At 52.4% G+C, this 12,716-nt stretch overlaps 1 annotated feature.

Annotated features, from left to right (window-relative positions):
• Nucleotides 213–1,035: an enhancer, noted in NCBI's record as "H3K4me1 hESC enhancer chr5:176126779-176127601 (GRCh37/hg19 assembly coordinates)". NCBI's record gives its function as "activates a minimal SCP1, AML or CMV promoter by ChIP-STARR-seq in naive H9 embryonic stem cells {active_cell/tissue: H9 hESC(naive)}" and the evidence as "EXISTENCE:reporter gene assay evidence [ECO:0000049][PMID:30033119]".

Consider the following 12,716-nt stretch of genomic DNA (forward strand, 5'->3'; position numbering starts at 1 on the left):
ACCCTGGGGTTTAATTAAGAAAATATGGAGGTCCTCTGGGAGCCATAGAGGGCTCTGCAGGTATTTATTTATTTATTTATTTATTTATTTATTTATTTACTTGAGACGGAGTCTCACTCTGTTGCCCAGGCTGGAGTGCAGTGGTGCAATCTCTGCTCACTGCAACCTCCACCTCCCAGGTTCAAGCAATTCTCCTGCCTCAGCCTCTCATGTAGTTGGGATTACAAGCAGGCACAGGCCACTATGCCCAGCTAATTTTTTCATTTTTTTGTTTGTTTGTTTCAGTAGACACAGGGTTTCGCCATGCTGGCCAGGCTGGTATCGAACTCCTGACTTCAGGTGATCCACCTGCCTTGGCCTCCCAAAGTGCTGGGATTACAGGCGTGAGCCACCACACCTGGCCTCTGCAGGTATTTTAAACACCAGGGTTGACCTTATCTTGTTGGTCCGGCTGATCTATCCACTTCCCAAGTTTCCACCCAGGAAGGGGCCTGGGTGGCCCATGCCCTCGTCACCTCTGGGCAGAGTGGGTGTGGCACCGGCGCCAGCTGCGCTCCACCACACATACATGGCTTCATGCTATTTTCTCTTGCACCTGAATCTTTAAATCATCCGTGTCTCTGGGCGAGCCGAGGCTGCGGCGGGAGCTGTTAATAATAGACACAAGCGACTGTCTGGTTACGAATTGCGGAGACGGTAATTAGCATTTTAATTTAGGCGTTTTCTTCACACTCACTTCTGGAGACCTGGATTCGAATCTGAAATTGGGGTCACCAGTGGAGGTTTGCCTGTGTTCTCCTAATCCTCCCACGGGTGTTTGTCTTTGTCACACAAGTACCCACAGCCCAGGGCTGAGTGTGGCCTGATGGGGGCACTGTCTGTCCAGGCTGCGGAGCGAGGATTTGTAGGGGAGAGGGGAGTGGAGCTGCGCTGGGGTGGGGGTGGGGGTGCTGTGCAGAGGCGCCAGGGGTGGGCGGTTGGATGGAGGAGGAAGGAGTGCTGAGCGGCTTTGGAGGGAGCAGAAAGGGGACTTCACAGAGCGAGAGGAGGAGCCGGCAGGCTGTGCGCCCCTATCCAGGGCTGTCAATCTTCCCCTTTCACAAGCACTAATTTTCTTGATTTTTCTGCAAGCCCAGATCTACTGCTGAACTACCCCAGCAGCCGGTGGTGTTTGGAGCATTAGGAATAAATGACTTAATGGACTTGCCTTTTCTCTTTCTCTCTTTCATGAAACAAGATTTAAAAACAGCAATCACAACAAAGAAAGTTGTCTCTTATCTCAGTGTCTAAGGGATGGGAGTAAGGCTTTGGGGTCCAGAGAGAGTCAAGCTCATCCCTGTTTATAGTGTATGTGTTGTGGGGAACACACTCCATATCCCCTTTTCCAGATCCCCCCATATTCGGTGAGTGGGCAGATGTAGGCAGCTCCTTCTGAGACAAATACCAATGGATCAAGCCCTGCCATCCCAGCCCCACTTCTGACATTCATGGTTGCCCAAAGATAGCCACACGCATTGAAAAATGACCTACATTCTCCCACTCCGTGCAAACGGATCTTTGCTCTATGAGGCAGGAGTTCCAGACTCCCTGGCCCTTGGGGCCAGCCAGCGACTCCAGGCTGCATCCAGAGGTGAGCAGGTCTCGATGAAGGGGGGTGATTGTTTGGCTCGACGAAGCCCATGGCGGGTGCAGCAAAGTGTGGGGGACTGGCTGGCTCTGAGCCCTCTTGGTGGAGCTGATCAAATCTCGCAATGGGCCCCTCTCGGGCCTACATTCACGGCTGGTGCGGAGCTGTGTAAGGAGGTGAAAAGGCTGGGAAGCCTTCTTTCTCTCTTGTCTTCTCTCTGATGTCATCGCTATCACTCAGGAATCTCTGGGGTACAAATGATGGAGGATGAAACTCAAACTGGCCTAAACCAAAAAGGGAATGTATTTGCTCCTACAAGTGAAAAGTCAAGCGGTAGTCAGGTTTCAGGTAAAGGTTGATCCAGCTAAATCCCATCACCCCAGGACCCGAGTTTTTTCTGAATCTCTGCACTGTTTTCCACAGCTCCATCCCCAGGCTGGTTACCCTCAGAGGCAGAGGTCGGTTGCCAAAAAGCCCCTTGGACTCTGTGTTTCTTTGTTATTTCTGGTGAGGAAGGGAGGGGGTTTCTGGATTTATTTTGGGGATTCAGTGTCCTTCGTTGATTTACGTCAAAGGCTTATCTTTGAGTCAATGACTGTGGCTATGGAATAGGGTGTCAGGCTGTCTTGAGCCTGCTGGGCCCACCCTATAGCTGGGAATGGAGTCAGTGGAGATGCATCTCCTCCAAAGGCGGGAAGATGAATCCCCTCAAAGGCAAACGGACTTGAAGGCAATGACCAGCTGACACTCACTCCATCCTGTTTGTAAGCACTGCCTCCCTGTAATGGACTCACAGTGCTGCACCCTTTGCCAGGTCACTTTTGTTGTTGTTGTTATTTTGCTGTTTATTTAATGTAACGCCACGTGACTTTGCAGTGACTTCCATTCAAATGGACTGAGGACACATCCTCACCCCAGCGATGTCGGGCTTGGTCCCATAACTCACTTTGGCCAACGGAATGTTAGCAGATGTGATGCGAGCAGAGGCTTTCAAGCTGTGTGTGTGGGTTTTACTTTTTGCTTTTTGTTTTTGCTTTTGTTGTTATTGTTGTTGTTTTTTGAGACGGAGTCTTGCTCTGTTGCCCAGGCTGGAATACAGTGGCATGATCTCAGCTCGCTGCAATCTCTGCCTCCCGGGTTCAAGCGATTCTCCTGCCTCAGCCTCCCAAGTAACTGGGATTACAGGTGCCAACCACCACGCCCAGCTAATTTTTGTATTTTTGGTAGCAACGGGGTTTCGCCATGTTGGACAGGCTGGTCTCAAACATCTGACCTCAGGTGATCCACCCGCCTTGGCCTCCCAAAGTGCTGGGATTATAGGCATGAGCCACCACGCCCGGCCTGTGTGTGTGGTTTTGAGGGGCTCCTTGCATTCTTCCAGCCACCGTGAGAAGAGCACCCTCTGGGTAGCTTCTGGTCCTGGAATGTGACATGTGAAGCAGAGCTGAGCCTGACCTGTGGCCTGAAGCCTATGGACAAAAAAAAGAAATGATTGTGGATTTCAGTCACTGAGATTCTTGGAGTAGGTTGTGACACAGCTTTATTGCAGTGACGGGTAACTAATGCAAACACAGAGAGGTGCTAGGTTATTTAGAGCTTTGACATTCTGGACGTTGGTGGCAGGGTGGTCGGGGGGCAGCATCAGAGAGAAAATTGGAGGATTTCCCAGAAAAGCCCCGCTTGCCCTCTGGAATGAAGAGAGATGTCTGGCTTCCCTCTGTCAGATGTCTCATGCCTTTTCTTGCCAAGGGCCTGGGAGAAAGAGGTTTCTTTTTGGGGGAAGACGCCAGAACATGGCCTAAAAGAACAATAGGCACCCTCTCTCCACCAGCCAATCCCATCCCACCCCACCCCCTGCTGCCTGTTCCCCGGTGATGGCTGAAGGCACAGCCAGGAGACAGGGACAGCAAGAGCCCAGGAGAGGCCTGGGGAGTGCGTCCTCGCAGCAAGCTGAGGGGCCACCTCCAGACCGGGCTGCGTTTGGCCCTCGCAGAGCTGCTCGGCTCTAAGCCACTGCATGCAGTTGGCAGATTCCTAGAAAACTGCATTTGAATTAAAGTTTTATAATTTAATCTCCATTTGAAATGCCTTGGAGAGAATCTGTTTGGAGGGTGAGGAAGAAAGGATACTTCGCAGCAGTAAATACCGACTCTCTCATTCATCTGATTCCTAGCGGTGGACTCGCCTGCGCCGTGGCGGCCCTGTTCATGGACACGTTCACAGGCATGTTCAACATCCCTAGAGTGGCGAGAAGAGTTATTCCACATTTCCAGTGAGGAGGCCCAGGCTCAGAGAAGGGCCCTGCCCATGTGAGTAGCAGAGTGGGACCCCGCCTGGCCCCGACCCTAGACAGGGGGTGTACGTCCCCTCCCGGCTGTGGTCCAAAGGCATCTTGCCGCCCAGCCGGGGCCACTTGCTCTGGTCAGGTTGCTGGACTTCCTCAGTGTCCTCCCCAGGCCCTGGGCATGGTGGGGTTTGGGGAAAGGAAGTGTTGCCTTTCCTTAAACCCTGGAATTTAAGAGTGGCCGGGCTGGAGGGTCTGTTCCGGCCCTCAGTGTCCAGGGCCCACAAACTTGGACTCTGGGCAAGTGTGCAGATCCAAACTCTACCACTTGGGTGAATAACTTTATTCCTGACGCCCTTCGTTTCCCAGTGTGAAATAACAAAGGCACCTATGTAATTATATGGTTTGGCTGTGTCCCCACCAAATCTCAACTTTAATTGTATCTCCCCGAATTCCCATGGGTCGTGGGAGGGACCCAAGGGGAGGTAATTGAGTCATGGGGCCAGTCTTCCCCGTGCTATTCTGATGATAGTAAATAAGTCGCATGAGATCTGATGGGTTCATCGGGGCTTTCCGCCTTTGCTTCTTCCTCATTTTCTCTTTCTGCCGCCGTGTAAGAAGTGCCTTCCGCCTCCCGCCATGATGCTGAGGCCTCCCCAGCCACGTGGAACTGTAAGTCCGATTAAACCTCGTTTTGTTCCCAGTTTTGGGTATGTCTTTATCAGCAGCATGAAAATGGGCTAATATAGGAAACAAAGTGCCTGGCCTGCAGTAACCATTCAATCCGCAGGAATTACCAGGCTTGCTTGTGTTTAGAATTGCTGGGATGGCAGCGTGGTTAAGAGCTTGAATTCTGGATTTGGACTCCCTGGGTTCTAATGCTGGAATTACCTCATGTTAGGTGGGAATTTCCAAAAATTTCACGTAAACTCTCTGAGCCTTAGTTTCTTCATCTGTAAAGTGGGGTTGATACACCTCCCCTCTGGGGCCAGGTAAGGATTGAGTCCAGTAATTGGTATAAGCATCAATTCTGACATACATACAGTAAGTGCTCAATACATGCTTGCTGCATTGATTCTGAAATACATACAGTAAGTGCTCAATACATGCTTGCTGCATCGATTCTGAAATACATACAGTAAGTGCTCAATACATGCTTGCTGTCATGCTTCATCTCCCACTTCTGCGTTTACTGTCATACCTCTTCCATCACCCAACACCTGGATGGTGGATGCCTGGGTGACCTCACAGGACCTGTGGCCCCCAAGTGGGTGTTCCTGGCCACACAGATAGAAGCAGGCTGGGAATGAGAGAAGGTACGAGTGAAGGGACAGAGAAGAGTTGCAAGATAAAGTTGAGGGCAGGTGAGGGTGACCCGAAAGTCCTCCCCTGCCCATGGCTGAGGCTCTGCAATGATTGGTCAATACTTCATTGACTTGCGCCATCTCTTCATATCTCCACATCTCTAACTTTAAGGGGGGTCTTTGCTGCACAGCCGGGCGTTCCCATGGCAACCTCCTGGAGACACAAAACAGCCATGCCTCCCGAACAAGCAGCCTCCCTCCCCTGTGTTTCCTAGAGAAGCCACTCCGGTGGGGTCCGAGGAAAACTCAGCTCTCAGCACAGCCTCGGGCAGTTGCCCCTTTCCAACGTGCCTCGTCCTGGAGCCTGGCTGTGGAGGGTGGTAGTTTATGCACTTAACATACATTTATAGAGTGCCCGCGGTGTCCAGAGACACAGTGAGGGCTGCCTGGGGACCCAGCAATGGAGAAGACAGACAGAACCCTGCCCTCAGGGACTAGGTTACTAGTTGGCATCTCTTCAAGTAAAGGGAAAAGGAACATTAGGCGATTTGGGCCAGTGCTAAGCACTGTGAAGGGAACAAAACAGCCAGGGGGCTGCAGGAGATGAGGAGGGGGCAAGAAAGCCCTCTCTGGAGCCCTGAGTCCTGAATGTGGCAAGGAACCCGGCCATGTGAGACCCTGGGGGGCGAGTCTCCAGGCAGAGGGGACAGTGAATGCAAAGGTCTGGAGTGACTGAAGAACAGGCAGGGGCAGCAGGGGCTGGGGCGTGGCAGGTGAGGTGGGCAGGGGCTCCATCAAAGAGGACTTCAGAAGCTGGGGTCAGGAGAAGGGGTTTTACTTTAACTGTAGCGGGCAGCCATTTTGTGGGGCGGGAGGGGTGGTGCGGGGCGGTTAACCAGGGTAGCCAGGGACTGATACACATTTTTTGGAGATTCTTTGGATTGCTTTGGGGCAAGTCGGACTCATCTTCCTGGGTTCCCCTGCCTGGGATGCCCCATATTTGTTGAGCCAACTCCTTGTTTGGCTGAGAAATAGAACCCTTGCTTCCTGGAGCTGGTCTTGCTGATACCCTGTAGGCCTAGGATTGTCTTCACAGGAATGTAGGGGTCTTCTCACCCAATATCCCCAGCCTCCTTGCCGTGACTTTGATATTTCTGGCTGCTGATAGCAAAGGCCCCTCTCCCTGACCCAGTCAATCGTATTCCACCCCACCCCCAAAGCCACTGCAATTTCTCCCTGATGAATGGGCAGCTCTGGACCCATGAATCCTTCAGCCAGCCCAGGCCCGAGCGCTCAATCTCTCATAACTCTGAGTTAAGGATGTGGAGTGATATCCAAGACAGCTGGATAAAGGATGAAATAAGAGGACTGATAAGTGGGATTGATGGCTGTCCTTGCCCAGGATGGGCTGGGGGAAGGGCAGAGGAGGACCCAGGGTGAGTTATTGCCTCCTCCAGGGTGTCTGGGGCTCTGAGATCACTCCAGCCCACATGGCAGACAAACTTCCATCGATCCCTGGCCCCTTCAGGAGTCTCAGTTCCAAGGCCCTAGAGAGGATCCCTGCATTCTGGTGGCCTCAGAATTTAAATTCTTTTCTAGAGGCCGCAAGGTGCAGACTAGGAGGATGGAGTATTGGTGCTGGCCTAGGCCACTGCGGGGCGGGACGCCAGGAAATGGGAGCCTCGCCTTGAGTCTCATTTGAAGCAGACAGGATTCTTTTTTACACATGACAGAAAACTAAGCCAAACTTCCTAAGCCCAAAGGAACTTTACTGGCTCATGTAGCTGAGTAGTTCAGGGTAGATCCTCCTTCAGGTGTGGCCCGATCCAGGACTCCAACAATGTGGCCCAGTTCTTCCATTTATTGAATCTGCCCTGGTACAGGCTCCATTCTCAGCAGGCTCTCTTCTCATGGTTGCAAGATGGCTACCAGAAGCTTCCAAGGCCACTTTCTTATTTGTGTTCAGTGGGAATGTTTCCCAGGATTAAACGAAAGCCTCACAATGGAACCTCATTGGCCCTGATTATGCTGATGTTGGGCTATGCACTACTTCATTTATGCACACCTATCACTGTGCAATGGGAGTGTATTAGTCTGTTCTCCTGCTGCTAATAAAGACATACCCAAGACTGGGTAATTTATAAAGGAAAGAGTTTTAGTGGACTCACAGTTCAGCATGGCTGGGGGCTTCAGGAAACTTACAATCATGGTGGAAGGGGAAGCAAACACATCCTTCCTCACATGGCAGCAGAAAGGAAAAGTGCTGAGCAAAAAAGGGAAAAGCCCCTTATAAAATCATCGGATCTCATGAGAACTCACTCACTGTCAGGAGAACAGGGTGGGGGAAACCGCCTCCATGATTCAGTTATCTCCACCTGGACATGGGGATGGAAAATGCTATCAGCTAAGCTAACGTGGGCCCACCCTTGAAGCTGCATTTGGGGTCAATTTTACCAAAATCCATGACTAGGACATTTCAGATTCTATGAGGAAGGGGGAGGGGAGGAAATGGATGCTGGGGCAGCAACAAACACACATCCATACCACCTCTCAATTTCATTTCTTATCATTCCCTAATACACACTCTTGTCCCTCCCTAATCATTGATTCAGATCCTTCTCGGAAGCTCAAGCTCTAACTCTCCTAACGAAATCCTCTGAATCAGTCAGGAATCTTTGGTTGCAAGTAATAACAGAAACCCAATTAAAATTGGCATGAGCTGAAAGAGAATTGTCTGACATCAGTTTAAAGTCCAGAGATGGTGCTGCTGGACCGGGCCTGGGTGGTTCCCGGGATTCCAACAGTGTCATGGGTGCTTGGTCTCCATCTCTGGGCTCTTCTGGCTTCTATGTGACTTCATTCTCAGAAGGCCCTCCGCAAGGAGGAGAGGGATGGCCCCAGTAGTCCAGGTGCCCATCCTGCAGTTAGCAACCCCTGTGGAAAGAGAAACCTTTGCCCAGGGTTCTGCCAAGGCCCCAGGGTTGATGCTTACTCCACCCCTGACCAATCACCGTGGAGCGGTGGGGCCCACAGGGCTGAAAGGTCAGGTCTGGTCCCGATTGTACCCCTGACCCTGGTGGAGGGGGAGCCCCACCAGATCTGCAGGAACTAAGGGAGGAGGAGGGGAGACTTCTGATGCATGGATTCTGTTTCAAGAAAAGAAGTCCCATAAGCTGGGCAGAGAGAGACAACAGCCCCAGTGACCCTGTCCTCTCCGACTCTGCCAGCACCGTGTGCTTCCCTTGCTCTCCACAGATGCCTCTTCCTCCCTGTGTAGAGCTTGGGTGCGGGAATCATGCCCTCTTCTGTTCCTGTGGTCAGGAGGTGCTTAATAAGCCCTGCAGAACAACACAGAGCGTGGCTCGAAATTGGGTGTTGCAATCACAGCCACTGTGGATGGAGGAGCTACCTCTACCAGGTGCTTCATAAATACCGTTTTCAGGAATTACACTTGACAAGATAGAGGACAGGAACGGTGGCTCATGCCCGTAATCCCAGAACTTTGGGAGGCCGAGGCAGGAGGATCACTTGAGCCCAGGAGTTTGAGACGAGCCTGGGGAAGATAGCGAGACCCTGTCTCTACACAAAATACAAAAATTAGCTGGGTGTGGTGGTGCACACCTGTGGTCCCAGCTACTCAAGAGGCTGAAGTGGGAGGACTGCTTGAGCCAGGCAGGCGGAGATTGCAGCGAGCCGTAATGGCCCTACGGCACTCCAGCCTCGGGGACAGAGTGAGACCCTGTCTCAAAAAAAGAAAAAAAACCGAAAAAGCAAGATAGAGGTGAGAAAATGCAGGTCCAGAGATGGGAAGCAATTGCCCAGGTCACACAGCTGGTGAGCAATAGAGCTGGGATCCTCACTGTGTCTGGCTGATGCGTTCTATAACCCCTGGCTTCACCTCTCTGCCGGTACCCCCTCCCAGCCCTCCAAATGTGAGCTCCAGGGGCCTGCAAACAGCCTGAAAATATTAAGCTGCTTCTATTTGATTTGGTCTCTTTTCTGACTATTCCTTGGTACCAGAAGAAACCCCATGTAGGTGAGTAGTTGGGCTTGTTCCAGGGGGAAATGGACAGTGACTTTGCCACCTCTTCTGAGGCCTGGCTTCCTTGCAGGGGGTAATGGGCCCGCTGCTGTCAGGGTCTTTGCACTCGCCGTTCCTCTGCCAGGGATGCTCTTCCTGCAGGTCCCTCTGCTCCCTCTCATCATCCCTGTCTCAGCAAAAATGTCAGGTCCTCTGGGGCCTTGCCTAATAGCCCTCCGCCCCCGGAAGCATCACCCTACAGCATCCTCACTGTCATTTTCCCGTTTACTAGCTTCGTGTTATTATCTCATCCCACTAGGACGGGAAGTTCCAGGGAAGAGGGGACCTATCTTGTCTTATTCACAGACGGGGGATCCTCAGGGCCCAGAACAGTCCCCAGTGCATGTGGGTGCTCAAGAAAGACTTTGAAAATGGGAAGAGGGAACGAGTGGTCTCACAGAGCTCATGATGTGCTGTTTCTGATTTTTTTATTTTCTTTTCCTCCCTCCCTCCCTCCCTTCCCTCCCTCCCTCTCTCCCTCCCTCCTTCTTTCCTTCCTTCCTTCCTTCGTTTCTTTCTTTCTTCTTTCTTTTTCTTTCTTTCTTTCTTTCTCTTTCTTTCTTTCCTTCTTTTTCTTTCTTTTTTGAGACAGGGTCTCACTACATTGCCCAAGCTGGTCTCGAACTCCCAGGCTCAAGTGATCCTCCTGCCTTGGCCTCCCAAAGTGCTGGGATTACAGATGTGAGCCACCGCACCCAACCAGTTCCAAATTTCTGAGGTCTTCAAGCCCTCCTTGCATTTTGTGGCCTACCTGCTGGGAGGGAACGTCTGCTTGGCAGGCTGGCTTGTCTTTGCTCCCAGCCAGAGCTGCTGGAATAACAAGCAGGGCAGGAGCCTTTTCTCCAAGGGGGGCTGACCTGCCCTCTGAGGCAGTGCCCATGGGCTGGGCTTAAGAGCTGACTTGCAGGACAGTTGTCCCAATGGGGTCCCTGGGACTCGTGTCTGTCCCCTGGGGCTGCACGTCGCTTGAGTGCCCAGTGAGGTGGCTTGGGAGGGATTTAGCAGCGGCCACACTGCACTGCTCTGCGCCTCACCACTGCAGCAGGATGGAGCGGGGAGGGAGTGACAAGGGGCTCACGCCAGTCTCCAGTGGCCAGAGAGCTTGACAGGTGGTTCCAGGGCCTATCCAGTCTCTCCATAGGCACTGGGACAGTGACTGAGTCTCTCCTTACTTACTCCCAGGCTTCTGCCCCTCCAGCATCCTGACACCATGGCTTGCTTTTTCGGGGCTCTCCCAGCCTTTCCCTACGATCCTACCACCTTTGTCGCCTCCACACCCATTTCTTTGTTTCTAGGAAAATCGGAGTCTCTCCTCCATCCCTCTCCCACTCTCCTAGACTGGTGGAGAGAAGTGACCAGTGAACCCAGCTGGGCACTGGATGGAATGTGAAAACTCTTGAGACATAGGACAGGAGTTACAGCCGATCTCTGCCCTTTTCCCAGAAAGAAGGCGAAGGTGAAGTCCAAGGTTTCTACACCACAGCAGGCCAGGCCAGGAAGCAGGTGAGAGCAGTGGCGCCTCTGGAACGGCATCCAAATGTCTTTAGAAGGTCTGAGAAGCCCCTGCCAGCTGCCCCGGTGTCACCCACACTATTCCAGGCTGCAGCTCACTGGCCCCATCGCTCGGTTCTCCCTCACACAGGCCCTCTGCCTGGCACAGGACCGTGCCCAGCTGTGCCCTCTGTCCAGAACACTCCCCTGGGGCTTGTCAAGGCTCACCACTCCTTGTCATTCAGGTCCCAGCTCTTGCACCATTAAAGCGTCCATCAGATTCATCAGGAGGGCTTGGGACATCCAGATGGCTGGGCAGCAGAACAGCTCCTCAGCAGGCAGGTCCAGGTAGGGCCTGGGAATCTGCATTTCTAACAAGTTCTCAGGATTGCTTTGGGTTTTGTTAGTTTGCCATTTCCACTGCAGCAGATGAAACTCCACAAGGGCTGACCCCGAGTTGTTTTCATTCTGAGTATCCACAGCCTGGCACACAGTAGGCGCTCAATAAATACTGATTGGATAAATGAACAATTCGACACACCCTCCCATCGATTAGACAGGAGCTTTCCCCATGCTGGGACCTCAAGGGCTCCCTCACGCGTAGGACACCTCGGCATGATGTGTGGAGCTGCTGCGCGCTGGAAATTCCAGAGCTGAACAAATGCTGCCCCCTGTCCTTGGGCACACACCCCTCTAATGAGCCAAAGGAGGCTATTCTAAGGCAGCCGAATGCTGCATGTTCTCCAGTGTGTAACTGTGCTGCTGACACTTCCTTAGACAACCTGGGAAATGTAGGCAAAATTATTATTATCGTTGTTGTTGTTATCAATATTTATTATACGCATTGTGTAGGATGAGCCATTTCACGCCTGGTTTTTAATCAGTTTCTGTTCCCTGAAGACAGTCTGGTGAGTAACTCGTTAGAAAACTGTAGTGAGCTGGAGTCCTCCAACACACCTGTTGGAAGACCCAGTTCAGGACAGCTTCCAGGCCCTGAGCTGGGCAGTGGGGAGCCCTGGGGCCCTGGAGACAGAGGGCATCCACAGCTGTTTTGAAAGCTCACATCCAAACTTTAGAATGTGGAAAGATTGAACTCTTTTTTATTTTTGTATATATATATATATATATATTTTTTGTAGAGATGGGGTCTCACCATGTTGCCCAGGCTGATCTCAAACTCCTGGACTCAAGCAATCCTCTTGCCTCAGCCTCCCATGGTGGAGAGGACTGAACTCTTAAGATAATTCCCATAAGTAAGTGATGTCTGGTCCCTCACTGCTTTACAAATGCCCCTGCCCTCATTGCCTTCCTTAAAACCCATCACACAGGCCTGTCTATGGAGGCAGGACCAGAGAGGCAGGGCGCACAAGTGAGGGCGCTTGTGTGCCCTTTGAGCAGGGGATCTGGGGGACCAAGGGGTAAGGGAGCAGAAGAGGAGCCTGAAGCCACTGTGACTATCACCCGCCCCGGCAGGGCTCTGCGCCCCCCGACGCCCCGCTCCAGTTAGGAGTGGTGCATGCTCCACCCCCTGCTTCCAGCCAGCCTCCCACCCACCCCCATCCAGGGAGTGCTGGGGGATGGCCCCGGGTCTGGGGGGAGCTGCCACAAGAAAGACACATTTCCTGCCTAATGGAGGTGGTTGGGTTGGTAATGAGTGTTCCTGCTAATTTGGAGGAATGATTTAACACCAGGAGGAGCCCGGGAAAACATCTTCTGAATAGAAAGAGTGGAACGACCCCCACCAGGCGGCGGCTCCGAGTACCGTGTTACTTCTTGGGCCTTTGGATCTGTCTACACAGGGAGGGACTGAGAATCCCAGGAACTGCATCCCTAGGAAGGAAGTGGGAAGGCAGGTGCCAGCTCAGTGTCTGGAGCTAAAGAAGGGAGGAAAGCCCCTACACACAGGTTCTCCCACCCCTCAGTGAGGCA

This window comes from Homo sapiens, chromosome 5 (assembly GCF_000001405.40).
Source record: "Homo sapiens chromosome 5, GRCh38.p14 Primary Assembly".
NCBI lineage: Eukaryota > Metazoa > Chordata > Mammalia > Primates > Hominidae > Homo > Homo sapiens.